The sequence below is a fragment of the Homo sapiens genome, chromosome X, assembly GCF_000001405.40.
Source record: "Homo sapiens chromosome X, GRCh38.p14 Primary Assembly".
Lineage (NCBI taxonomy): Eukaryota > Metazoa > Chordata > Mammalia > Primates > Hominidae > Homo > Homo sapiens.
The window spans coordinates 74,776,681-74,803,747 of record NC_000023.11 but is presented as its reverse complement, the minus strand read 5'-3'; the positions used below and the strand labels follow the sequence as shown (position 1 = coordinate 74,803,747).

Genomic DNA, 27,067 nt, shown 5'->3' with positions numbered 1-27,067 from the left:
TATGTCATGCCACTCTCTCCTGACCTGTAAGGTTTCCACTGAAAAGTCTGCTGCCACACTATTTGAGCTGCATTGTATATTGTTTGTTTCTTTTCTGTTTCTGCTTTTAGGACCCTTTCTTTATCATTGACCTTTCACAGTTTGTATTATTTATTTATTTATTTATTTATTTATTTTTTTGAGACAGAGTCTCGCTCTGTTGCCCAGGCTGGAGTGCAGTGGCGCAATCTCTGCTCACTGCAAGCTCCGCCTCCTGGGTTCACGTCGTTCTCCTGCCTCACCCTCCCAAGTAGCTGGGACTACAGGCGCCTGCCACCACGCCTGGCTACTTATTTATTTATTTATTTATTTTTGTATTTTTAGAACAGACAGGGTTTCACCGTGTTAGCCAGGATGGTCTCGATCTCCTAACCTCATGATCTGCCCGCCTCAGCCTCCCAAAGTGCTGGGATTACAGGCGTGAGCCCGGCCCACAGTTTGATTATTAAATGCCTTGAGGTAGTCTTTGGGTCAAATATGCTTGGTCTTCTATAACCTTTTGCACTTAAATGTTGATACATTTCTCCAGGTTTGGGGAGTTCTCGTTATTTTCCCTTTGAGTAAGCTTTCTACCTTTATCTCTGTCTCTTCCTCCTCTTTAAGGCCAGTAATTCATATTTTTCCTTTCGAGGCTATTTTCTAGATCTTGTAAGTGTGCTTAATTGTTTTTCATTCTTTTTTCTTTTGTCTCCTCTGACTGTGTATTTTCAAATAGCCTGTCTTCGAGCTCACAAATTCTTCCTTCTGCTTGATCAATTCTGCTGTGAAAGAGTCTGATGCCTTCTTCAGTATGCCGGTTCCATTTTTCAGCTCCAGAATTTCTACTTTATTCTTTTTAATTATTTTAATATCTCTGCTAAATGTATCTGATAGAATTCTAAATTTCTTCTCTGTTTGCTTGAATTTATTTGCATTTCCTCAAAACAGCTATTTTGAATTCTCTGTGTGAAACGTCACATATCTCTGTTGCTCCAGCATTGGTCCCCGGTGCCTTATTTAGTTCATTTGGTGTGGTTATGTTTTCCTGGATGGTCTTGATATTTGTAGATGTTCATCTGTGAACATTGAAGAGTTGTATATTTATTGTAGTCTTCGCAGTCTGGGTTTGTTTGTACCTGTCCTTCTTGGAAAGGCTTTCGAGATATTCAAAAGGACTTAGGTGTTGTCACCTAAGCTCTATCTACTTTAGGAGACACCCCAAGCCCAATAATTCTGCGGCTTTTGCAGACTCTTAGAGGTACCGCCTTGGTGATCTTGAATAAGAATCTGAAAGAATTCTCTGGATTACCAAGCAGAAACTCTTGTTCTCTTCCCTTACTTTCTCCCAAACAAACAGACACTCTCTCTCTGTTCTGAGCCACCTGGAGCTGGGGGTAGACTGACACAAGCACCCCGCGTGACCACCACCACTAGGACTGTGCTGGGTCAGATCTGAAGCCAGCACAACACTGGGTCTTACACAAGGCCTGCTGTAACCACTCCCTGGATACCACCTATGTTCAGAGTACCTGGGACTCCACAATCAATATGTGGCAAAAGCACCCAGGCCTGTGTCCTACCCTTCAGGGTGGCGAGCTCCCCACAGGACCCAGGCAGGTCCAGAGGTGCTGTACAGGTGCCAGGGACTAGAGTCCAAAACCTTAGAAGTCTACCTGGTGTTCTGTTGTTGCAGCTGAGCTGGCACTCAAATCACAAGATACAGTTCTTCCCACTCTTCCCTCCCATTTCCACAGGCAGAGGAGCCTCACCCCATGGCCACCACAACCACAGGCCCACAGGGAGTACTGCCAGACTAGCACCAATGTTCCCTTAGGCCCAAGGGCTCTTCAGTCAGCTTGTGGTGAATACTACCTGGTTTCAGACTCTCCTTTCAGGGCAGTGGGCTCTGCTCTGGCCCAGTGCAGGTCCAGAAATGTCATCCAAGAGCCAGAGCCTGTAATTGGGGACCCTGATAGTTGGCTTGATGCTCTATGCCCCTGTGGGCAAGATGGTATCTGAGGTGCAAGACAAAGTCCCCTTCACTTTTCCCTTTGCTTTTCTCAGGCAGGAGTCTTGCCCTGCAGCCACCAAAGCTGGGAATGTGATGAGTCTCTCCTGAAGCCAGCAAGTCTCAGAGACCCATCAAGACCTTCAGTGTAGTACCAGGGTAACTCAAGGGCTCTTCAGTTAGCAGCTGATGAATGTCACCAGGACTGGGTTCTTCCTTTCAAGGCAGCATTTTCCCTTCTGGCCTTCTAGACATCTGGTGGATGTCTAGAAATGTCATCCACCATCTTGCTCTGACCCCTCCTTGGTGTGGCCATTTTGGAAGGCAGTTTGACAGTTTCTTACAAAGCTTATCATATTCTTACCATATGATCCAGTAATCATGCTACTTGTATTTATCCAAATGAGTGGAAAACTTGCATCCACAAAAAACCTGCACGAGTGTTTATAGTAGCATTATTCATAATTGCTCAAACTTCTAAGCAACCGTGATGTCTTCTAATAGGTGAATTGATAAATACACTGTTATATCCATGCAATGAAATATTATTCAGCACTGAAAAGAAATGAGCTATCAAGCCACAAAAAGACATGGAGAAACTTGAAATGCATATTGCTACATGAAAGAAGCCAATCTGAAAGGCTACATAATGTATGATTCCGACTATACGACATTCTGGAAAAGGCAAAACTATGGCGACAAAAAAAAATTCAGTGGTTACCAGGTGTTTTGGGGGAAGAGAGAGAGGGATGAGTAGGTGGAGCACAGAGCATTTTTAGGGCAGTGTAACTATTCTGTATGATGCTGTAATAGTGGATACATATCATTATACATTCCTCAAAACCCATAGAATATTCAACACAAAGAGTGAGTCTTAATATAAACTATAGACTTTAGTTAACAGTCTATCAACATTAGTTTGGGGTGGGGGAAAAGAAAAAAATTGCTAAATAAATAAAATTTAGTAATAACTTCACTAAATAAATTCTATTGTATGGCCTATCTATACAATAGAATATATTTTTAATTTTAATTTTTTAAAAATAGAATATTTTGCAGCTATTAAAAAAGGATGATACATTATGGAAAGACAAAACTATAGGGACAGAAAACAGGTTAGTTGTTACTTAAGAACTAGGGGAGGGATTGACTACAAAGGGGTAGCTTGAGGGAATTTTTGGGATCACGGAACTGTTCTGAATTGTGATTGTGGAGTGATTATCCCACTGCATGTGTCTGTAAAAACTCATAGAACTGTACAATGAAAAATTATTTTTACTATGCGTAATTTTTAAAGTAAATAAAAATAGGATGGGGAATTTTAAAAAGCTTTTTATAAAAAAAAAAGCTAGTAGTAGCCTTCCAATTGTGAAAGTTCTCACAGCACGCAAGGGCATTATTTTCAGTTAACAAATGTTTCACTTAGACTCAGATTACTCAGGATAGAAGGGTCCTTCAAGATCACTAAAGCCCCTACATGCACCCTCACTTTACAGAGGGAGAAACAGGCCCAGAAAGAAGGGAGTTTCCCAAGGTTACATGCAAATTAGTGGATACTTTGTGTAGTTTCAGTCTTTTGACATTTATTGAGAATTATTTTGTGGCCTAACATATATGGCTTGTCTTGGAGTATGTGTATTCTGCTGCTGTTGGGTCTGGTGTTCTTTGTATGTCTGTTAGGTCTTATTGGTGTTTAGGCTTTCTATTTTCTCATTGATCTTGTATTTAGTTGTTCTGTCTATCATTAAAAGTGGGGTTTTGAAGTCTCCAGCTATTATTATAGAAATGCCTATTTCTCCCTTCAATACTATGAGTTTTTGCTTCTTATATTTTGGGCCTCTCTTGTTAGGTACTTAACAAGAGAGGTGTTTATAATTATTATGTCTTCTTGATGAATTGACTCTTTTATCAATGTATAATGTTCCTGGATGGGCACAGTGGCTCATGCCTGTAATCCCAGCACTTTGGGAGGCTGAGGCAGGAGTATCCCTTGAGCCCAGGAGGTCGAGGTTGCAGTGAGCCGTGATCGTGCCGGTGCACTCCAGCCTGGACAACAGAGCAAGACCCTGTCTCCAAAAAGAAAAATGTTCTGTTACTTGTTTTGAGAGTTCATTATTGTTCATTATTTGAGCTAGATCCCTCAATTTGAGGAAGTATGTATTTGTTTGTGTATATGTGCATGCATGCATGTGCTGCTGACCAGTGTGGTAAATAGCGTGGGGCTACTCTACTTGGTCTTTAATTCCATGGAAAATGAGAAACTTTTTTTTAATTTTTAATTTGATGTATGTATGTATGCATGTATTTCTTTATTTATTTTGCTGGCAGCTCTAAAACCAGCACAAATTGGGATCATAAGCTCCCTATTCTAATAAGATCTTGTAGTTGAGAATGAGTCAGGGGACTCACTGTGAAGGAGACCAGGTCTTTATTGAGGCCTTTGTGAAAATCTCTGCTACACACAGATAACAATTGAAATCCAATTTACTTCACACTCAACAGGAAGTCTTAGTTTTATTGACTCAACAACTAGTCAATAAAATTAAAAAGCATTAGTGGCCAGGTGTGATGGCTCATGCCTGTAATTCCAGCACTTTGGGAGGCTGAGGTGGGAGGATCACTTGAGGCCAGGGGTTCAAGACCAGCCTAGGCAACATGGCAAGACCCCCTCCCTACAAAAATAAAAAATAAAGCAGTACCAATTTGAGAATTTTCTTCATTGTTCCCTTGTTTCACTGTCATCTTTTTTTTTTTTTTACTTTATTCCTTTTTCTTTCTCTGGTTTTTCTCCAACTGTTCTATTTTCCCTGTTTTCTTTACATCTTTCCTTTTTTCTTCTCTACTTCCCCTTCTCTTTACCCTTTCCTCCCATGTATCTTTCTCTCTGATTTCTCCTTTTCTGTATTATTCTCTTTACCCTGTGACTGTTGCATTACTGGACACTGGCAGTGAGACTAAATATTTTAAGTTAGCATCAATAGGGATATGTTAATAGAAGACATAACTATAATTTTGTTTCTTTGTGGGAGAAATATACACATTAAAATAAAAGGCCTATACTCTATTGCCATCTAATTGGAGCTTCTGTGCTGGCAGAAAATGCACTGGAAAAAAAGTAAACCAAAATTACTTGATAAGAAAAGCATAGTAGCTAGGCCCAAATGTCCACCTTGCTCTTTATTAGAATTATCTAAATACAAAGATGAAAGCAAGACTCTTCTCCAAGAAACAATCTCTGCAAAAAGCCCCTTTGGCATCAAAGCTATGAACTTTACGGGAAAGCCAGAGTTTCTCAGGTTGTGTGCCATATGGATAGTTTGGCCTATTATAAGTTTTGATTGAGAGAAGAATGCAATATAAAAGCAGCTATTGGGTTTAAGCACAGCTAAGTGTGGTGGTTGCAGTGATAGTCTTGAGTGCCTTTCTGAGTTAGGCACTCTTTTATTATTTTGTTTTGGTTTTTTGTTTTGGTTTGGTTTTTGGTGTTTTTGAGACAGGATTTCAAACCATGATGGTTTGCTGAATAGATCAACCTGTCACCTAGTTATTAAAGCCAGCATCCATTAGCTATTCTTCCTGATGCTCTCACTCCCTCAAGAATGGCATTTTGAAGGTACTTGGGTTTACTGGCAATGTGTCCTTGCTTAGCCAGTGTGGCTGGATGGCCAGGGCTTGACAAGAAGTAACATTTCTTGGCCATAGAAATTCAAGTTTTTGTTCACTTTCTGTTCTTCTTAAACCCCACCTTTAGATTGGCTTTCACGTTGCCCTCATTTCCCGGAGAACACTGAATACTTCCCAGGAAAAGAGGCTTATGCCATGCACAGTTCCATCCTTCTTCTTACTGAACCCATCTCTCTGGGATTGCTGGTGATTGGAATTCACATGGAACATTCTACGTTGAGCTTGGTAAAGCAGCTGGTTTTGTTAAGAAAGCCCAAGGAAAGCTTTGGCCTCTGTTCCCACCTCCCACACAGTCAAAAAGAAGCCCAGTCTAGGTAGAGCTGAAAGGGCATTTGAACACCATCTAGTTCCACTCCTCATGGTACAGATGGAAAATTCAAGCCTGAAGTTGAAAAAAGGAACTTGCTTAAGGTCACACAGTTAGATAATGGTTACCTTCTGACTTCAGAAGACTGTTCTCCTCCCTAATTGTATGTTAAGGAAGAATCTGACAGACATCTGTTTAAACTATTAACTCTGTGTGTGTGTGTGAACATGGTTTAATTTTTAAACTTTATTTGAGATGACTTTTGTACTTACAGAAAAGTTGCAAAGCTAGTACAAAGAGTTCCAATATACCGTTTGCCCAGTTTCCCCTAATGTTATCATCTGTACATTACTATGGTACATTTATAAAAACTAAGAAATCAACACTGGTATATTACTATTAACTAAACTCCAGACTTCATTCAGATTTCACCAGTTTTTCCATTAATTATCATTTTTCTAAAATATCAGGATCCAATCCAAGATAATACATTGCATTTAATCATCATGTGTCCTTAGTCTTCTCTGGTCTGTGGCAGTTTCTCTGCTTTTCCATAACGTTAAGATTTTTAAGAGTACTGGTCAGGTATTTTGCAGAATGTCCTTCAATTTGTGGTAGTTTGATGTTTTTCTTATGATTGCACTGGGGTTATAGATTTTGGAGAAGAATCTCACAGAGGTAAAGTTCCATTTTCATTACATTATTTCAAGGCGCACATAATAGCCTTTAACAAGACATCACTACTAATTATCACATTTAACTTTGGTCATTTGGTTAAGGTTGTGTTTGCCATGTTTTTGCAGTGTAAAGCAACTACTTTTTCCTTTTTCATTCTCTATTCTTTGGAAGTAAGTCCAGCCCACACCCAAGCTCTACCTCCTTGAAAGGGGAGTATCTACATACATTATTTAGAATTCTTCTGTTAGGACGATATGTCTTTTCTCCACCATTTATGCATTTATTTGATCATTTATTTATGCTGTATATGTGGGCTAATATTTATTTATTTTATACTTTGGGCTTTAATCCGATACTACCTTATCTATTTTGTTACTCAAATGCTCCTGCTTTAGCCATTAGGAATTATTTCAGGTTGGTTCCTGCGTCCCTTTAAACACATGCCCTCTTCCTTTTATCTTTTTAGTACTTGCTAATTTTCTGGTACTACAAGATACTCCAGGCTCATCTTGTGTTTTCCCTGACCTAGCCCTAGAATGAACCATTTATCCAAATAACTCTGGTTCCTTTTATTGGAAAATGTTATTTAGAAACCAAGATCTAGGAGTGGTCATTTTTACCAAGCTATCATTGCTTCCAGACTTTCTCAGTGGACATAACTGGGTAATATATGTTTGTTTATGTACTAACCTTTGTATACATATATATCTATAATCATTTGTGTGTCTATCCATTGTGTGTGTGTGTGTATATATATATAATATATATAATATATATGTATATATATAATATATATAATATATATGTGTATATATATATATATTATATATGTATATATATATAATATATATGTATATATATAATATATATGTATATATATAATATATATAATATATATGTATATATATAATATATATATTATATATAAATATATATATAATATATATAAAGCTAAACATGAGTTTATATTGATGTCTCTAACTCTAATCCAATACTACAGGGTTCATTCTAGCCTTCCTTTCTTTTTATCTGTAACTTCCCCCTATAACAATGACAAACTTAGCTTCCACTACCCACCATCCATTTACTTACTTGTTCAAACCCAGTACATTCAAACCAGTCTCACAATTGTTCATCTATACCACCATGACAACAGCTTTATCAACTACAGTACAGTGTTTATGTATGGTTATTTGTCTTTTATCTTTATACTTTCTAGCTAAAACACAATTTTTCAAAGTTAAATCAGCTTCGTACCCCCTTCCTCAGTGCACTTATGTCACACATTTGTAATACAGTTAGATTCATTTGTCACAGTCTGCATTTCATCCTGGGATCCTCTGACATCTGGTTGATGTTTGCATTTGCATATGTTAAGGCTCATTCTTTGTAAATTACAGGTCTATAGGTTTTGACAAATGCATAATGTCATGTGCTCACCACCCCAATACCATACAGAAGAGTTCCATCACTCTCAAAATTCCTCTGTGAATCCCCTCTGTTATCAACCAGTTCCCCCACCCCTAATATTCAGAAACTACTGATAAGTATCCCATCCCTATAGTTTTATATTTTCCAGAGTGTCATATGAATGGAATAATACAATATGTAGTCTTTGGGTATGGCTTCTGTCTCCTAGCAAAATGCATTTAAGACTCATTCATGTTGTGTGAATCAATAGCTCCTTTTATGTAAGTAGTTCCTTTTAAACACTGAATAGTATTCCATTGTAAGAATACTTGTTTATCCATTCTCTTGTTGAAAGACATCTTGATTGTTTTTAGCTTTGAGAAATTAGGAATAAAGTTGCTAGAGACATCCACAAGCAGGTTTTTGTGTGGATGTAAATTTTCAATTCACTTGGGTAAATACCTAGAAGTGTATTTGCTGTATCATATGGTAGGTCTAACTTTTAACACAATTCCTTTCCAAGAAGTCTGGGTTGAGTATGTATGTATGGTGCAGTAGAATATCTGTTCCTGAGCTGGACTGAAATAGTGATCACTCTCACACCATATTCCATGTGGACGGAAAATAGAATATCAATGGGATGGGAGGAGCCAAGATGGCCGAATAGGAACAGCTCCAGTCTACAGCTCCCAGCGTGAGCAACACAGAAGACGGTGATTTCTGCATTTCCATCTGAGGTACCAGGTTCATCTCACTAGGGAGTGCCAGACAGTGGGCGTAGGTCAGTGGGTGCGCGCACTGTGCATGAGCCAAAGCAGGGCGAGGCATTGCCTCACTTGGGAAGCGCAAGGGGTCAGGGAGTTCCCTTTCCGAGTCAAAGAAAGGGGTGACGGACGGCACCTGGAAAATCGGGCCACTCCCACCCGAATATGGCGCTTTTCCGACGGGCTTAAAAAAAGGCGCACCACGAGATTATATCCCGCACCTGGCTTGGAGGGTCCTATGCCCACAGAGTCTCGCTGATTGCTAGCACAGCAGTCCGAGATCAAACTGCAAGGCAGCAGCGAGGCTGGGGGAGGGGCGCTCGCCATTGCCCAGGCTTGATAAGGTAAACAAAGCAGCCGGGAAGCTCGAACTGGGTGGAGCCCACCACAGCTCAAGGAGGCCTGCCTGCCTCTGTAGGCTCCACCTCTGGGGGCAGGGCACAGACAAACAAAAAGACAGCAGTAACCTCTGCAGACTTAAATGTCCCTGTCTGACAGCTTTGAAGAGAGCAGTGGTTCTCCCAGCACGCAGCTGGAGATCTGAGAACGGGCAGACTGCCTCCTCAAGTGGGTCCCTGACCCCTGACCCCCGAGCAGCCTAACTGGGAGGCACCCCCCAGCAGGGGCAGACTGACACCTCACACGGCAGGGTATTCCAACAGACCTGCAGCTGAGGGTACTGTCTGTTAGAAGGAAAACTAATAAACAGAAAGGACATCCAAACCAAAAACCCATCTGTACATCACCATCATCAAAGACCAAAAGTAGATAAAACCACAAAGATGGGGAAAAAACAGAACAGAAAAACTGGAAACTCTAAAATGCAGAGCGCCTCTCCTCCTCCAAAGGAACGCAGTTCCTCACCAGCAACGAAACAAAGCTGGGTGGAGAATGACTTTGACGAGCTGAGAGAAGAAGGCTTCAGACGATCAAATTACTCTGAGCTACGGGAGGACATTCAAACCAAAGGCAAAGAAGTTGAAAACTTTGAAAAAAATTTAGAAGAATGTATAACTAGAATAACCAATACAGAGAAGTGCTTAAAGGAGCTGATGGAGCTGAAAACCAAGGCTCGAGAACTACGTGAAGAATGCAGAAGCCTCAGGAGCCGATGCGATCAACTGGAAGAAAGGGTATCAGCAATGGAAGATGAAATGAATGAAATGAAGCGAGAAGGGAAGTTTAGAGAAAAAAGAATAAAAAGAAATAAGCAAAGCCTCCAAGAAATATGGGACTATGTGAAAAGACCAAATCTACGTCTGATTGGTGTACCTGAAAGTGACGGGGAGAATGGAACCAAGTTGGAAAACACTCTGCAGGATATTCTCCAGGAGAACTTCCCCAATCTAGCAAGGCAGTCCAACCTTCAGATTCAGGAAATACAGAGAACACCCCAGAGATACTCCTCGAGAAGAGCAACTCCAAGACACATAATTGTCAGATTCACCAAAGTTGAAATGAAGGAAAAAATGTTAAGGGCAGCCAGAGAGAAAGGTCGGGTTACCCTCAAAGGGAAGCCCATCAGACTAACAGCGGATCTCTCGGCAGAAACCCTACAAGCCAGAAGAGAGTGGGGGCCAATATTCAACATGCTTAAAGAAAAGAATTTTCAACCCAGAATTTCATATCCAGCCAAACTAAGCTTCATAAGTGAAGGAGAAATTAAATACTTTACAGACAAGCAAATGCTGAGAGATTTTGTCACCACCAGGCCTGCCCTAAAAGAGCTCCTGAAGGAAGCACTAAACATGGAAAGGAACAACCGGAACCAGCCGCTGCAAAATCATGCCAAAATGTAAAGACCATCAAGACTAGGAAGAAACTGCATCAACTAACGAGCAAAATAACCAGCTAACATCATAATGACAGGATCAAATTCACACATAACAATATTAACTTTAAACGTAAATGGACTAAATGCTCCAATTAAAAGACACAGACTGGCAAATTGGATAAAGAGTCAAGACCCATCAGTGTACTGTATTCAGGAAACCCATCTCACGTGCAGAGACACACATAGGCTCAAAATAAAAGGATGGAGGAAGATCTACCAAGCAAATGGAAAACAAAAAAAGGCAGGGGTTGCAATCCTAGTCTCTGATAAAACAGACTTTAAACCAACAAAGATCAAAAGAGACAAAGAAGGCCATTACATAATGGTAAAGGGATCAATTCAACAAGAAGAGCTAACTATCCTAAATATATATGCACCCAATACAGGAGCACCCAGATTCATAAAGCAAGTCCTGAGTGACCTACAAAGAGACTTAGACTCCCACACATTAATAATGGGAGACTTTAACACCCCACTGTCAACATTAGACAGATCAACGAGACAGAAAGTCAACAAGGATACCCAGGAATTGAACTCAGCTGTGCACCAAGCAGACCTAATAGACATCTACAGAACTCTCCACCCCAAATCAACAGAATATACATTTTTTTCAGCACCACGCCACACCTATTCCAAAATTGACCACATACTTGGAAGTAAAGCTCTCCTCAGCAAATGTAAAAGAACAGAAATTATAACAAACTATCTCTCAGACCACAGTGCAATCAAACTAGAACTCAGGATTAAGAATCTCACTCAAAACCGCTCAACTGCATGGAAACTGAACAACCTGCTCCTGAATGACTACTGGGTACATAACGAAATGAAGGCAGAAATAAAGATGTTCTTTGAAACCAATGAGAACAAAGACACAACATACCAGAATCTCTGGGACGCATTCAAAGCAGTGTGTAGGGGGAAATTTATAGCACTAAATGCCCACAAGAGAAAGCAGGAAAGATCCAAAATTGACACCCTAACATCACAATTAAAAGAACTAGAAAAGCAAGAGCAAACACATTCAAAAGCTAGCAGAAGGCAAGAAATAACTAAGATCAGAGCAGAACTGAAGGAAATAGAGACACAAACAACCCTTCAAAAAAATCAGTGAATCCAGGAGCTGGTTTTTTGAAAGGATCAACAAAATTGATAGACCGCTATCAAGACTAATAAAGAAAAAAAGAAGAATCTAATAGACGCAATAAAAAATGATAAAGGGGATATCACCACTGATCCCACAGAAATACAAACTACCATCAGAGAATACTAAAAACACCTCTATGCAAATAAACTAGAAAATCTAGAAGAAATGGATAAATTCCTCGTCACATACACTCTCCCAAGACTAAACCAGGAAGAAGTTGAATCTCTGAATAGACCAATAACAGGATCTGAAATTGTGGCAATAATCAATAGCTTACCAACCAAAAAGAGTCCAGGACCAGATGGATTCACAGCCGAATTCTACCAGAGGTACAAGGATTAGCTGGTACCATTCCTTCTGAAACTATTCCAATCAATAGAAAAAGAGGGAATCCTCCCTAACTCATTTTATGAGGCCAGCATCATTCTGATACCAAAGCCAGGCAGAGACACAACAAAAAAAGAGAATTTTAGACCACTATCCTTGATGAACATTGATGCAAAAATCCTCAATAAAATACTGGCAAACCGAATCCAGCAGCACATCAAAAAGCTTATCCAGCATGATCAAGTGGGCTTCATCCCTGGGATGCAAGGCTGGTTCAATATACACAAATCAATAAATGTAATCCAGCACATAAACAGAGCCAAAGACAAAAACCACATGATTATCTCAATAGATGCAGAAAAAGCCTTTGACAAAATTCAACAACCATTCACGCTAAAAACTCTCAATAAATTAGGTATTGATGGGACGTATTTCAAAATAATAAGAGCTATCTATGACAAACCCACAGCCAATATCATACTGAATGGGCAAAAACTGGAAGCATTCCCTTTGAAAACTGGCACAAGACAGGGATGCCGTCTCTCACCACTCCTATTCAACATAGTGTTGGAAGTTCTGGCCAGGGCAATTAGGCAGGAGAAGGAGATAAAGGGTATTCAATTAGGAAAAGAGGAACTCAAATTGTCCCTGTTTGCAGACGACATGATTGTATATCTAGAAAACCCCATTGTCTCAGCCCAAAATCTCCTTAAGCTGATAAGCAACTTCAGCAAAGTCTCAGGATACAAAATCAATGTACAAAAATCACAAGCATTCTTATACACCAACAACAGACAAACAGAGAGCCAAATCAGGAGTGAACTCCCATTCGCAATTGCTTCAAAGAGAATAAAATACCTAGGAATCCAACTTACAAGGGATGTGAAGGACCTCTTCAAGGAGAACTACAAACTACTGCTCAATGAAATAAAAGAGGATACAAACAAATGGAAGAACATTCCATGCTCATGGGTAGGAAGAATCAGTATTGTGAAAATGGCCATACTGCCCAAGGTAATTTACAGATTCAATGCCATCCCCATCAAGCTACCAATGACTTTCTTCACAGAATTGGAAAAAACTACTTTAAAGTTCATATGGAACCAAAAAAGAGCCCGCATCGCCAAGTCAATCCTAAGCCAAAAGAACAAAGCTGGAGGCATCACACTACCTGACTTCAAACTGTACTACAAGGCTACAGTAACCAAAACATCATGGTACTGTTACCAAAACAGAGATATAGATCAATGGAACAGAACAGAGCCCTCAGAAATAACGCCGCATATCTACAACTATCTGATCTTTGACAAACCTGAGAAAAACAAGCAATGGGGAAAGGATTCCCTATTTAATAAATGGTGCTGGGAAAACTGACTAGCCATATGTAGAAAGCTGAAACTGGATCCCTTCCTTACACCTTATACAAAAATCAATTCAAGATGGATTAAAGAGTTAAACGTTAGACCTAAAACCATAAAAACCCTAGAAGAAAACCTAGGCATTACCATTCAGGACACAGGCATGGGCAAGGACTTCATGTCTAAAACACCAAAAGCAATGGCAACAAAAGCCAAAATTGACAAATGGGATCTAATTCAACTAAAGAGCTTCTGCACAGCAAAAGAAACTACCATCAGAGTGAACAGGCAACCCACAAAATGGGAGAAAATTTTCGCAACCTACTCATCTGACAAAGGGCTAATATCCAGAATCTACAATGAACTCAAACAAATTTACAAGGAAAAAACAAACAACCCCATCAAAAAGTGGGCGAAGGACATGAACAGACACTTCTCAAAAGAAGACATTTATGCAGCCAAAAAACACATGAAAAAATGCTCATCATCACTGGCCATCAGAGAAATGTAAATCAAAACCACAATGAGATACCATCTCACACCAGTTAGAATGGCAATCATTAAAAAGTCAGGAAACAACAGGTGCTGGAGAGGATGTGGAGAAATAGGAACAGTTTTATACTGTTGGTGGGACTGTAAACTAGTTCAACCATTGTGGAAGTCAGTGTGGCAATTCCTCAGGGATCTAGAACTGGAAATACCATTTGACCCAGCCATCCCATTACTGGATATATACCCAAAGGACTATAAATCATGCTGCTATAAAGACACATGCACACATATGTTTATTGCAGCATTATTCACAATAGCAAAGACTTGGAACCAACCCAAATGTCCAACAATGATAGACTGGATTAAGAAAATGTGGCACATATACACCATGGAATACTATGCAGCCATAAAAAATGATGAGTTCATGTCCTTTGTAGGGACATGGATGAAATTGGAAAACATCATTCTCAGTAAACTATCACAAGAACAAAAAACCAAACACCGCATATTCTCACTCATAGGTGGGAATTGAACAATGAGAACACATGGACACAGGAAGGGGAATATCACACTGGGGACTGTGGTGGGGTGGGGGGAGGGGGAGGGATAGCATTGGGAGATATACCTAATGCTAGATGATGAGTTAGTGGGTGCAGTGCACCAGCATGGCATATGTATACATATGTAACTAACCTGCACAATGTGCACATGTACCCTAAAACTTAAAAGTATAATAAAAAATAAAAATAAATAAATAAATAAATAAATAAAAGAATATCAATGGGATGTCTTCTTCTCCTACCTGGAAGATGAAGTTTCTGCAAATGACCATTAGATGGCGGGGTACTTGCTGGCACTCTGAGCTGGAAGTCTGGGAGATTGTGGGAGACTGAAAATTATATCACTCTACCCCCTTCCCTTTTCTTGGCAAAGGGATATTCTAGCCACACTCAGGAAATAAAATACCTGATTTATGACTCCTGGCATGTACCTTTATACTGCTTCAGGAAGTTAGGCTTGGGTTTCATGTTGGCAAGTATCCCAACAGCTAAATTTGTGTAATGGTAAACTTTAGGTTAGATAATGAGTTTTGACCTGAAATGGGGTAAGCAACATCATGTCATGTTTGTGCCCCTTGCTGACCTCATTGCAAAGTAAAGGAAGCATAGAACCTTGATTCCTGGGTTCTAATGCCAGCCATCTATTGTCCCAACTCTCTTGGCCTCATATTCATCATCTTTAAAATAAGGATAATACCTGCCCATTCATGCTCACAGGGCTGTTGTCAGAGATCAACCTAAGATACATAATGTGAAATATATTGAAGGACTTTATAAGTTTAACATCATACAAATATGAATGATTATTAATGATCAAACCAAATAGAATATGAAATACTATTGATATTAGGTGGCATCATACATTAATAAATCTGACTTAAAAATACAATCTGTTTACCTTGATCAGGAGAGGTAGATATTTAGTCTCTGAAGTGATGCAGTATTTTCCTCAGAACTTAGTGGGTGGGTAATTTATTATTATCTACTTGTTTAATTTTTGGTGTAGCAGTTACAGAAAATACTTGATTCCAGATTGAACGATTTTATAGGGTAATTCCTCACCCTCATAAAATCCACATTATTTCAATTTACCAAGTAAATACTGGCACATTCAGTAGATGTTACTATTTTGGGTTCCAACTGGTACTCATGATTGACTCTGGTGCTCTGGATCCAGATCCTTTGGTATGTACCAGGGGACAGCAAACCTCAGTTATAGAGGTGGCTTTACCTTTACCCTAGAAATCATCTGCAGTTGCTCTGGTTCAAAGCTTAAAGGAAGGTTTGAGGAGTGTACTTTCAAGGTTTGAGGAGTGTACTCTCTCTTCCCAGCAGTGCAGAAACCAATAATCATCAAAACATTGTCACCATAACTGTTGTCAGGTTTTTTTCAACCTTGCCCTTGCATCTCAGCACAGCTCTCTCGCCCAAAGAGGTAAGCTGGGGAAAACAGAATCTACTCATTGTAATCTTTTCAGCTTATTTATCTGCATTTAGAAAGTCTCAACCCTCTGGGCTCCCCTGCCTGTCAGAGTCAAAAAGAAAGGCCCCATGTGTATGTGTGGGCCTGTATGTAAGAAGTAAGGCTTGAAGGCATCCTTGGCATCTGTCATGTGACACATGCAATGGTTTGTAATAGAGTCAGGGAATCATAGGATATGACCTGAGGTGGGAGGTCCAGTTTCTACCCTTCATTTTACAATTGGGGAAACTGAAACCCAGACCAAAAAGTAACAACTAATTAGCTATGTAGGTCTTGCTTTATTATTACTGGTCACGGAGAGTGCATCTTAACAGTAGCCAAAGAAGGTATTGATCAAGTAGAGAAGGGACACTGTCATTCCCATAGCTTCAATCTTTTTTTTTTTTCTTTTTTCTTTTGAGATGGAATCTCGCTCTGTCGCCCAGACTGGAGTACAGTGGCGTGATCTTGGCTCACCACAACCTCCGCCTCCTGGGTTCACGCCATTCTCCTGCCTCAGCCTCCCGAGTAGCTGGGACTACAGGCACCCACCACCACGCCTGGCTAATTTTTTTTCTTTTTTTTTTTTTTTTTTTTGTATTTTTGGTAGAGACAGGGTTTCACCATGTTAGCCAGGATGGTCTCGATCTCCTGACCTCGTGATCTGCCCGCCTCAGCCTCCCAAAATGCTGGGATTACAGGCGTGAGCCACTGTGCCCGGCCCATAGCTTCAATCTTTATTTTTCTCCAGTGGAAGGGGCTTAGCCTAACTGAAAACAGTTGATGTAATTTAGGGCATGGGAGGGACTAGTGATAGGGGTGTGTGTGTGTGTGTGCACACACGCACATGCACATGTGCTCACGTGTGTGTGTGTGTGTGTGTGTACAACCTTGTTTTCAGTTATCTACTTCTCTTTGGCCTCTAAATTCTACATATTTTCCCCTTCTCCTGTCAGAATCATTTAGTCAATATGTGCCTTTTTGAGTTTGTAAGTGGAGGCTAGGTTAAAGAGTGTCCTTAGTTTAGGAATGTCATGTGCTCATTTGGCTAGGTGTGTGGTGATTGTGTGTGGGGGAATGTGCTGGATTCAGAATAGTAATAGTTGCTTAAAACTGGAACTTTTTAATGAGGGAGAATGGTCTACCTTTTTTCTTGCAGAGCTCAGTTTTATTAATGTGATATGCTGTGTGCTAGTCTGTGCCAGAAAGTATCTCTGTAGGTAATTGATCTGCCTCTTCTTCCTTTCTCTTTAGATATTCCCTTCCATGTATGATAAAAACCAATCTTGGTGTGTTTATCTCTTTTTTAAGCACTTTATCAAGGGTTTTTTCCAGCTCTTGAAAAGACAACTTGTATACCCACCCTCCACACTACACTGTACAACCAACCCAACATTCTCTGCATAGACAATCAGTCTTCTTTTCTGTGTGATATAAATCTATGAAAACTCCCACACATTATAGTACAACTGGACTTGCTGATTCCAAACCCTGAGCAGAAAAACCCTCTAGGAAGCCATTGCCAAGGATAAGATTGATTGCTACACTGGCAGGTGCCTGCCCATTTCCCTCGCTCAGTGGAAAATCTGGCCCACCATGACAAAAAATAGCTCATCCCAGGGCCTTAAAACCCACCGAATGAGATTTTAGTGTTGGGGATAAAAGCAAGGCTGTAGACTAACTCATTCATTTGCTTTAGTGTTCTCTATAAAATATAAAACATATATTTCATAAACACCAAATTTCATGAAAGCAGATTTATTTCATAAGTTTTGTCTATTACCTTATCTAAGCACAGTCTCTTCCTCCACCATTCTCAGGACATATGGCTTAGTCAGACAGACTACACAGATGAATGCAGAGTGTTGAGTGACAAAGCCAGCCCTTTAGGCGTTTGGAGCACAGCAAGGTTATGTTGGCAAGGCCAGGTCAGACAAGGCTATAAACTTTGCCTTTCATCTTTACCCTAATAATGCCACTGAACAAACCCAACCAGGATCTTTCTCAAATCCATGTGTACAGTTTTTATTTGTCAGAGACTAAGCAGAATGCCTGGGGGAAGGCATGCATAATAGAACTAATCATTCTTTAAAGTGTAATTTTCCTTGCCTATGCATTCTTGTAGAGTTTCAGTAGAGCCCTTGACACCCTAAGATAGAAGTGAACTATGCAAAGGGGGAATGAGTGGAGATAACTTGAAAAAAAATTTTTTTTTTAGTTTTACATCCTCCTTTTTTTCATATGGACTTTAGACATAAACAGTTAATGTCTGTCAGAGCTAAAAGGTACCTCTGATACCATTTTATCTACCCCTTAACCACAAAAAAAGATTATATAGGGAGCAGTTCAGTATAGTAGAAAGAACATGGGATTTGGAAAGAACTGAATTCTACTTCCAGCTCAAGCCATTTGATCTCAGTTTCTTTATATGTAAAATGGAGGTGGTAATCCTCATAATGACATTGTAAAGCAATGTACTGGTGGCCCCCAATACTATCCCCAGGTTCACTGATTTGCTAGAAGGACTCACAGGACTCATAAATTGTTACAATCAGGCTACAGTTTATTATATCAAAAGGACAGAAAGCAGAATCAATAATGGGAAAACGTACATCAGTCAGAGACCGGAGGATACCAGGTGCAAGCTTCCAAGAGTCTTCTCCCAATAGAGTCACACAGGTTGTGCTTAATCCTCCAACAATGAAGTTCAGAAACATATGCAAAGTGTTTTCTGCCGGGGAAGCGTACTTGAGCCTGAAACTCCAGGATTTTTATTGGGGTAACTAGTGACTGAAACTCCATATCCCTTGGAAAGAAAGCATGCATTCACCATAAATCATATTTTTTGCACAAGATACCTAGACAGGCTGTTACAGCATGGTTGAAAGGGCATACACAATGCCCTTACCAGTTACTAGAATAGAGAACATTCTAAGACCTCAGTTCCCAGGAGCTGGCCAAGGACCAGTCACACAAGTGGGCCCTTCTAAAAATGTATACGATTTGAGCAACTCAAGACTGCTGGGTTAACTCTTTCTTTCACAGATAGGTATTAAATTATTGTATGTGTGTATATATATATATATATAAAATATTGCATATACATACACACAGTATAAAGCAGTACATTAAATGTGAGGGATTATTATACATATGAGTAAAGAGAGCTAGAGCTATTCTGGGGTGTGATTAAGTGCAGTAAGAATGGAAGTATCTAAGACAACTCTCCAGGGCAATGAATGGGGAAGCTGTAAACAATCCCACTGAGGATTTTATTTTTCTCTATGATTAGAGATAATTTCGTCACCACTACCATTCTGTCCCTCATCAGTTTCACATTGTACTTTCTTATCATAGCTATATATTTCTTGGGATTTTTGCATAAGCCAAATTGTTTCACTACGCACTGTGGAGTTTTGGCAAGGATGTGATCCTCTTAAGGAAAGTGCAGAATTGAGCCTTTGCAGAAGGCATAGGCAGGTGCTTCCTAGAAAACCCTGAGCAAGTCCCAATGAAAGACTATGGTTAATTATACTATAATCGTGGTAACTAATACCAACAGTGAATTTTAGTCTGAATTGAATTGAAGTGAATTTATGTGAACCTAAATACTATTGAAATACGATTTTGAGCTAAATACTGCACTAGATGCCCAGCCTAGCCCAATCATTTTATAAAAATTTGCCCTCTAAGGATGACGGAAATGACTATAGAAAGGAAGCTCAGGCATTGTATGCTAGGATGTGGAGGGGAACATCCTGAGGAAGTGCACATACTCATACCTAAAACTACTGAAAGCATTTGCCAAGGGTAGCCTGTACTGCCTGAACTCAGGTGGTAATGGCACCAAGTAGACTGGAGAACAGCTTGAGAAAGTGGGCATATCTTACAGATGGACAATAAACCTCCTGATGGAACTTTGGTAATGGAGTATTTGTTAATAGCATTTTAGCTGCTGTAAGCCTCTTTGTCTGCTTTATACCCCCAGAGCTGCTGTAGCTCTCCCCAAACTCATGAATGGGGCCTAAGGCAGCTGCCTTTATTCTGCATGTAAGCTAGAGCTGGCTCATTTGTCTACCTGGTATGTTCTTTTACCCTTTACGTTGGAGCCATGTCAATGGTTCTCCTCAAATTGACCCTCTGCTGCCAGACTTTATTGAGCCCTATCTGAGACTTTTTCTGAGCCCTCTGCTCCAGGTGGCCCTAAAAACTTCATATACAATGTAATGTAGGCTCTTTAATGTGCTAGCAGAAAATGACAGAGATTAAATGGTGGCCCTGCCATCAAGGGAACTCATTGCTTCTTTTGAAATAAAGTATTTGGCAGGTTTTGCCTAGAATTGAGGGATGGAATCACTCCTTTCCCTACCTTATCTTTTCTTAAAACAGCTCCTACATTTCACCCCATTTAAAATACTAGCCCTTGCATTTGTATCACATTCTATACTTTTCTAACACTTTCTTATTTATTATTTTATTCTTACATATTTTCATTCATGCTCCGAGGCCAAGCTCAGATGCTATTTTCTACAGAGAGATTAATTTTAACTTCCTCTGACCTCTTAAGGAACTTTCCATGATGCTCTCGTGGTTTTTAACCATTTTTCCTATTTTTATTCTAATTATTTATATATATATCATTTATTAGACTCTAAGATCCTCAATGGCAAGATCTAGATAGGATTCATCAACAACTTACATATAGCAGGCAAGCAATGAATAATAAAGATGAAATAGAATAGAAAACAAACAAATGCTTGAAGCTTAGATAACTGCCTCTCATTTACTCTAATTACTGGAAGGCCTAGAACTTGAATCTTCTTCTAGTCCTGTACTGCTATCTTAAATTCTCCACCACACTGCCTCCCTTACCCAGGCCAGATAGCATTTACTCTTCAGAAGGAAGGAAATTAGCTAAGTCTCTAATAATCAGGAAAGGCTTTAAGGAGGAGGTAGACCTTGACAAATGAGTATAATGTTACTAAGTGAAATGCAGAGCGAAGGGTATTCCAGAATTAGCAGTGAAAGCACATAAAGAGGGTGGGAGGAAGAACATGGTCTGTAGAGTAATGAGGCCAAGCCTAAGAACCAGGGCAGCAAGAATTGTTTGGGGCAAGTCTTGAAAACCATACAGAAATGTTGGAATGTGTTGTAGCAGGAAGTAAGGGCCCCATACAGAAGGCCTTATATGAAGGAAGGGTCTGTAGTAGGGAGGACTTAGGGCTTTCTGGTCTACTGGCTCTTTTGGAAGTTTGAAATCATGGCAGGGACCTAAGACCCTGAACCTCCTGCCTCTTGATTTGGTCAACTCTGAATGTGAAGTATATTTTATTAAGATATTCTAACTTGCTCACTAGCATTTAATGTTAGTTGCCAAATTTCCAAACCTGAGCTCAAAGGGAACTCTCTTACAAGTTTGAAAGCATTTCAGAACTCTTTTTCATGGTAATAAGGATTTTGCCTGGCCTAGAAGAAGCTGCCAACTCCAGAGGTCTCTCTGGCACTCTAACTCAGAGAAGTTTAAAGTAAATGTAGCTCCTGAGAGAGAGTATGAGTCCTTAAACCACCAACCCCTCATCCTTTTAAATCTCTGGGTTTATCCTCTGGGAAACACTGTCATTCAGCTACTGTTTTGTTCAGGTCTCTCAAGTTCTTGCCTACCATCCAGCCCTTCAGATGTCTGTGTCATCTGGTTAGTTCCCTATATTGTGAGGACTTAACAAATTTTCAGTCAGTCATTCAGTCAGTCAGTTCCTGTCTTGTCCTCCAGAATATCAAATATTGAAAAACCACTGGCCTCAACTAAACTGAGCTACACCACACCCTGGTAAAAGGGAAAATCTTAGTATAAATTTCACATACACCTAAGGCTTTCACATACATTTCACATACACATAAACCACTGGCCTCCACTAAACTGAGCTACACCACATCCTGGTAAGAGGGAAAATCTTAGTATAAATTTCACATACACCTAAGGCTTTCACATACACATAAATCACTGGCCTCCACTAAACTGAACTACACCACACCCTGGTAAGAGGGAAAATCTTAGTATACATTTCACATACACCTAAGGCTTTCACATACATTTCACATACACATAAACCACTGGCCTCCACGAAACTGAGCTACACCACACCCTGGTAAGAGGGAAAATCTTAGTATAAATTTCACATACACCTAAGGCTTTCACATACACCTAAGGCTTCACATACACCTAAGGAAACCTAAGGCTTCCCTCTTGTTCTTTCTCCCTCTTCTCCTCCTTCACCTCTCCCTCCACTCTTCCTCTGATCTCTCTTTTTCAAACGTTATGGTTTGTTGTTCCATACCAACTGCACATTTGGCAATAGACAAAAATACAAAACTCCTGCCCTCATCGATTTATGCCACTAACCTGATTCAGTTCTCTCTAAAGGAGATCGTAGCAACCTCTCTCAATATTCATTTCCAGCTAACATTCTCTTACTATTTCTCCGGAGAGCAGTGAAACTTTATCAAAGTCTACTTTGTAACGATGCCAAAAGCTGGCCTCTGAAAGCTAAAAGGAGAAGAGCTAGAATGTGGTAAGTGGGAGCTGGGCCCTAGCAACAGAACTGTGGGAGGCAGTGTGGAATAATGGAAGGACCATAGGTCTGAAGACCTCATTTTGGACTTAACAGTTGCCCAGGCTTTCTATATTCTCACACATTTATGTACCTTTAGGGTAAGGATAATCACTCATATTTGTCTCATCTGACAGTACCTATCACACAGCTCATGTTCAGGTGAGTCCCCAGGGCCCCCACTGTGCTGTACTCTCCCTTCCCTGCCCAACTTCTCTGCACCTTGGATTCATGTCTTGTTTCTACCACTTCCTAGCCTTGAGGCTTTGGTAGGTTTCTTAACTTCTCTGACTGAGTTTGTTTCATCTTCCCTAGAAGAGATAATACATGCTTCATAGCTTTGTTGTACAGATCAAATAAAATAACAGATATGAAATATTTTATAGCCTATAAGGTGCTGTGAAAATTTTAAGATGGGGCTAGGCGCAGTGGCTCATGCCTGTAATCACAGCACTTTGGGAGGCCACAGCGGGCCGATTGCCTGAGCTCAGGAGTTAGAGACCAGTCTGGGCAACATAGCGAAACCCCATCTCTAGAGAAAATACAAAAAAAAAAAAATTAGCCAGGCATGGTGGCACACGCCTGTAGTCCCGGGAGGGACTGAGGCAGGAGGATTGCTTGAGCCCAGGAGGTAAAGCCCAGTGAGCCATATTCATGCCACTGCACTCCAGCCTGGGTGACAGAGCCAGACCCCATCTCTAAGAAAAAAAAAAAAAAACAGTAAGATGGTTTTATCAGATTAGTCAACAAATGTCAAAAGGCACACAATTTTTATTACATCCATGAACCATGCCTCCAACTAGATCATGTGGTATATAGAGTTCCAGGCCTATTTATAGACCCACATTTGCTTAGGTTCAGTTCATCTGAACACTGATTAAAGTTAACATTAGGAAAGACAAAAACCTAACCTTTATCTGTGTTTGATACAAAGACCAGTAGCAATTACATCACTTGAATGTGGTTAGATTTTATTTTCCTTTGGTATTTTGGTGAAGTTCCCAAACGAATGCCCAGGAATAATTACAGCAGACTGGCTTTGGCGGAGGAAGTATATAAAGGCAATTAGTAAAATGTAACAAACTTAAATGATAATTGAACCTACATTCCCCCAGCCATTTCCAAGTATAAACTATATAAATCTGTGTCCCAGATTCACCAAATGAAATATTTTTGAGGGAATCAAGCAGCAAGGATCTAGTGATCCCTTATTGCAGCCCAGCTATGTGTTTAGGGGCAGGGTATGGTGGTAGATGTAAAATCCTAAAAGCCTGCTTTCCAGGAGCTCATATTCTGGTTGGGTCTACAAAACAGAAAAATTAAGTCTTTTGTTAGAAGAAATGAAACAATCTAAGACAAAATAGCATCAGGTGTCAAATAGTGTGGAGCAAAAGGCATTCAGAAAAGTAGAGGTCAAGGTGGGCTGGGCCTTTCAGCTTAAGAAAGACAGAGGAAGAAGGCAGGGAGATCTTGCCTATGTTGGGAAAGTAAGGGCAGGAGCCTCTGAGTTGGAAAGAACATGTCAGGTGTTGTGCATGGTGCCACGTAAGACTGCTGAGGTATGATAGAGCCAGATTATAGATGTCCCTGAAGGCCTGGCAAAGGAGACTTGACTGTATATAGTAAGCAGTGGTGACTCATTGTGAGTTCTTGAGCCAGGAGACTGCTGAAAAAGTAGTGTGTTAAAAAGCAGCATGCAGGGTGAATTAGAACAGAGACAGACACCTACTACCAGAAACCCATTTGTTAGCTTCCATTGTAAGATGTGGTCGTAGTCATGGAAGAGGATGATTGAAAACAAGATATGGCCAAAGAAAAGAGAACAATAAGAACACTGGGGCTTAGAAGGTCAGATTACGTCTTACTCAATCAGTCAGAACTCTGGCATCATAGGTGATTTTAGTGAAAAACATATCTATTTGTTGGAAACAAATTTTTAACTTTAAATGGTTAGCTTATAGGCTTAAGATATAAGTTCCCAGAGATGAATTGGTGAATGGCGTCTGAACTTGACCTATTTGCAGCAGCAAGAATGTGCAAGAATCTTCTCCAGGCTTTCTCAGAGCTGGAGGACCCAGCATTTGTGTTAATGTGACTGGGTTAAAATGAAAGCCTTTGTTGTCTCTGAAAAGAAATTGAGGAAGTACTGTTAAAAGATGATGAGATCAGCCGGGCACAGTGGCTCATGCCTGTAATCCCAGCACTTTGGGAGGCTGAGGTGGGCGGATCATTTAAGGTCAGGGGTTCAAAACCAGCCTGGCCAACATGGTGAAACCCCAGCTGGATGTGGTGGCATGCACCTGTAATCCCAGCTACTCTGGAGGTTGAGGCAGGAGAATCACTTGAACCCGGGAGGCAGAGGTTGCAGTGAGACAAAATGTAATGTAAGGTAAAAGTGAGACAAAAATGTCTATTGTGACCTGAACATATTGGCCTATAATGATGGTAAAGCTGTGTCACTCTGAGAAAGTTACTTAAACTCTCTGAGAAGCTTTAGAGCTTCTCATTTATAATATAGTAATGCTAATTCCTACCTGCTTCACAGGGTTTTTGTAAGGGTTAAATGTATATCAACATAAAGTTTCTAGCACACAGCAGGTAATTGCACCACTGCACTCCAGCCTGGGCGAGAGAGCGAGATGAAAGAAAAAAGAAAAGAAGGAAGGAAGGGAGGAAGGGAGAAAGGGAGATGAGATCCATGGAGGAAGGAAAGGAGACTTTATTTTCAGAGGAGATACAATCTGTAGATCCGGGAGTGCAGCTTCAGTACAAGCCCCACAGAAGGGGCAAGGAGCTGGGGTCAGCCATCCATACATAATTGAGTTAGGTTGGGAAAAATCTATGAATATTTATAAGAGGAATCAGGCACCATGCACAGTGGGTAAACATGTATGTAGCATGCATTTCATGTTCACTTTGGGGTGAGGTTTTAGTATTAAAATGAGGTGGAATTTGGCTCTTTACATCTAAAGGTGAACTACAGGACACAAAGTTCATGCACAGTCTTTATAAGTTGGTTGAAACTGGCTCAAGGTCTGCAGCCATTTATCAGTAAAAAATGTTCATAAGACAGGTCCTCTGTCCAATCAGAGCTGTGGTGGGACTGCAAGGCAGGGGCTTGGGATAGAGAGTGGAGGTCAGTGGATTCAATAGGTTGGCATCAGGCAGTCTATCTCGGTCAACTGGGAAATTTTCCAGCTGTAGTTGTTTCAGTAATGCTTTTTGGGAGCTGGTTTCTGCTTAATTACAGGGGAAAAAGCTTATGGCAGTTAATAACACAGAAATACTTAACTAAGCCCCAATCCTGCTGGCCATGAGATTCTGTTTTTGGTGTGTCTCATTTTAGCCACAGGGAGTCCATTTTATCTGTCTGTTGGGGCATATTTTAACAGTACAAAAGACAAACTGAGCAAAACACCAGCACAAAAAGACTGTAAACTAAGGGGAAATTACATGGAAAACGAGAAAAATATTGAAGTAGCAATGTATTCTTATAGTTACTCAGGAAACTGCTGTTCACTTTGACACACACATGCATCTCTTCCCTCCTTAAACTGCCTATATGTGATTCGATAGTACAGTAGGGAAATTATATTTAACAGTAATTTATTGTATATTTTTAAATATCTAGAAGAGAAAAATTGTAATGTTCCCAACACAAAGAAAAGATGAATGTTGGAGGTGATGGATATCTCAATTACCCTGACTTGATCATTACACATTGTATACATGTATCAAATTATCACGTGTACCCCAAAAGTATGTACAACTATGATATATCAATTTTAAAAATTTAAACAGGGTCAAAAATGTCTATTCTGACCTGAGCATATTGGCCTATAATGATGGTAAAGCTGTGTGACTCTGAGCAAGTTACTTAAACTCTCTGAGAAGCTTTAGAGCTTCTCATTTATAATATAGTAATGCTAATTCCTACCTACTTCACAGGGTTTTTGTAAGGGTTAAATGTATATCAACATAAAGTTTCTAGCACACAGCAGGTAATTGATAGATGTTAATATCCTTATCATTAGAGGGGATAGGTCAACTTAGTGTTGGAACTTAAACTTGCACTCATCTAAAAGCAGCAAACATTTCCCCCAGCTTGTTGTTTAAGTAGTCGCTAATGTGTAGAATTTAACCCAGCCCCATCAGCAGCTGCTAAAATAGCAGCCTGGGTTTCAGTTTACTTGACTGCATACAACTGGGCTAAGGTTATGTTGGAGAAATGGTCAGTAACTAGTAAGTCTAACGTATAACTGGTCCTGGGGAAATGCCATATTTTTAATCTTGAAAAGTCGACTCATTCATTGTTATATAAGATAATCCTACTTCCTTTTTTTGTTTGTTTTTTTTTTTTTTTTTTGAGACTGAGTTTCGCTCTTGTTGCCCAGGCTGGAGTGCAGTGGTGCG

At 40.1% G+C, this 27,067-nt stretch overlaps 1 protein-coding gene across 1 annotated transcript in view, besides 1 other annotated feature; it reads left to right on the top strand.

The window, feature by feature from the left end:
• NEXMIF (neurite extension and migration factor) overlaps window positions 1-27,067 on the top strand; it is a 192,597-nt gene that overhangs the window by 121,705 nt on the left and 43,825 nt on the right. The gene's annotated exons all lie outside the window — the stretch shown is intronic.
• Window positions 24,187-24,266: an enhancer, noted in NCBI's record as "active region_29768". NCBI's record gives its function as "activates an Ori minimal core promoter by ATAC-STARR-seq in GM12878 lymphoblastoid cells {active_cell/tissue: GM12878}" and the evidence as "EXISTENCE:reporter gene assay evidence [ECO:0000049][PMID:35858748]".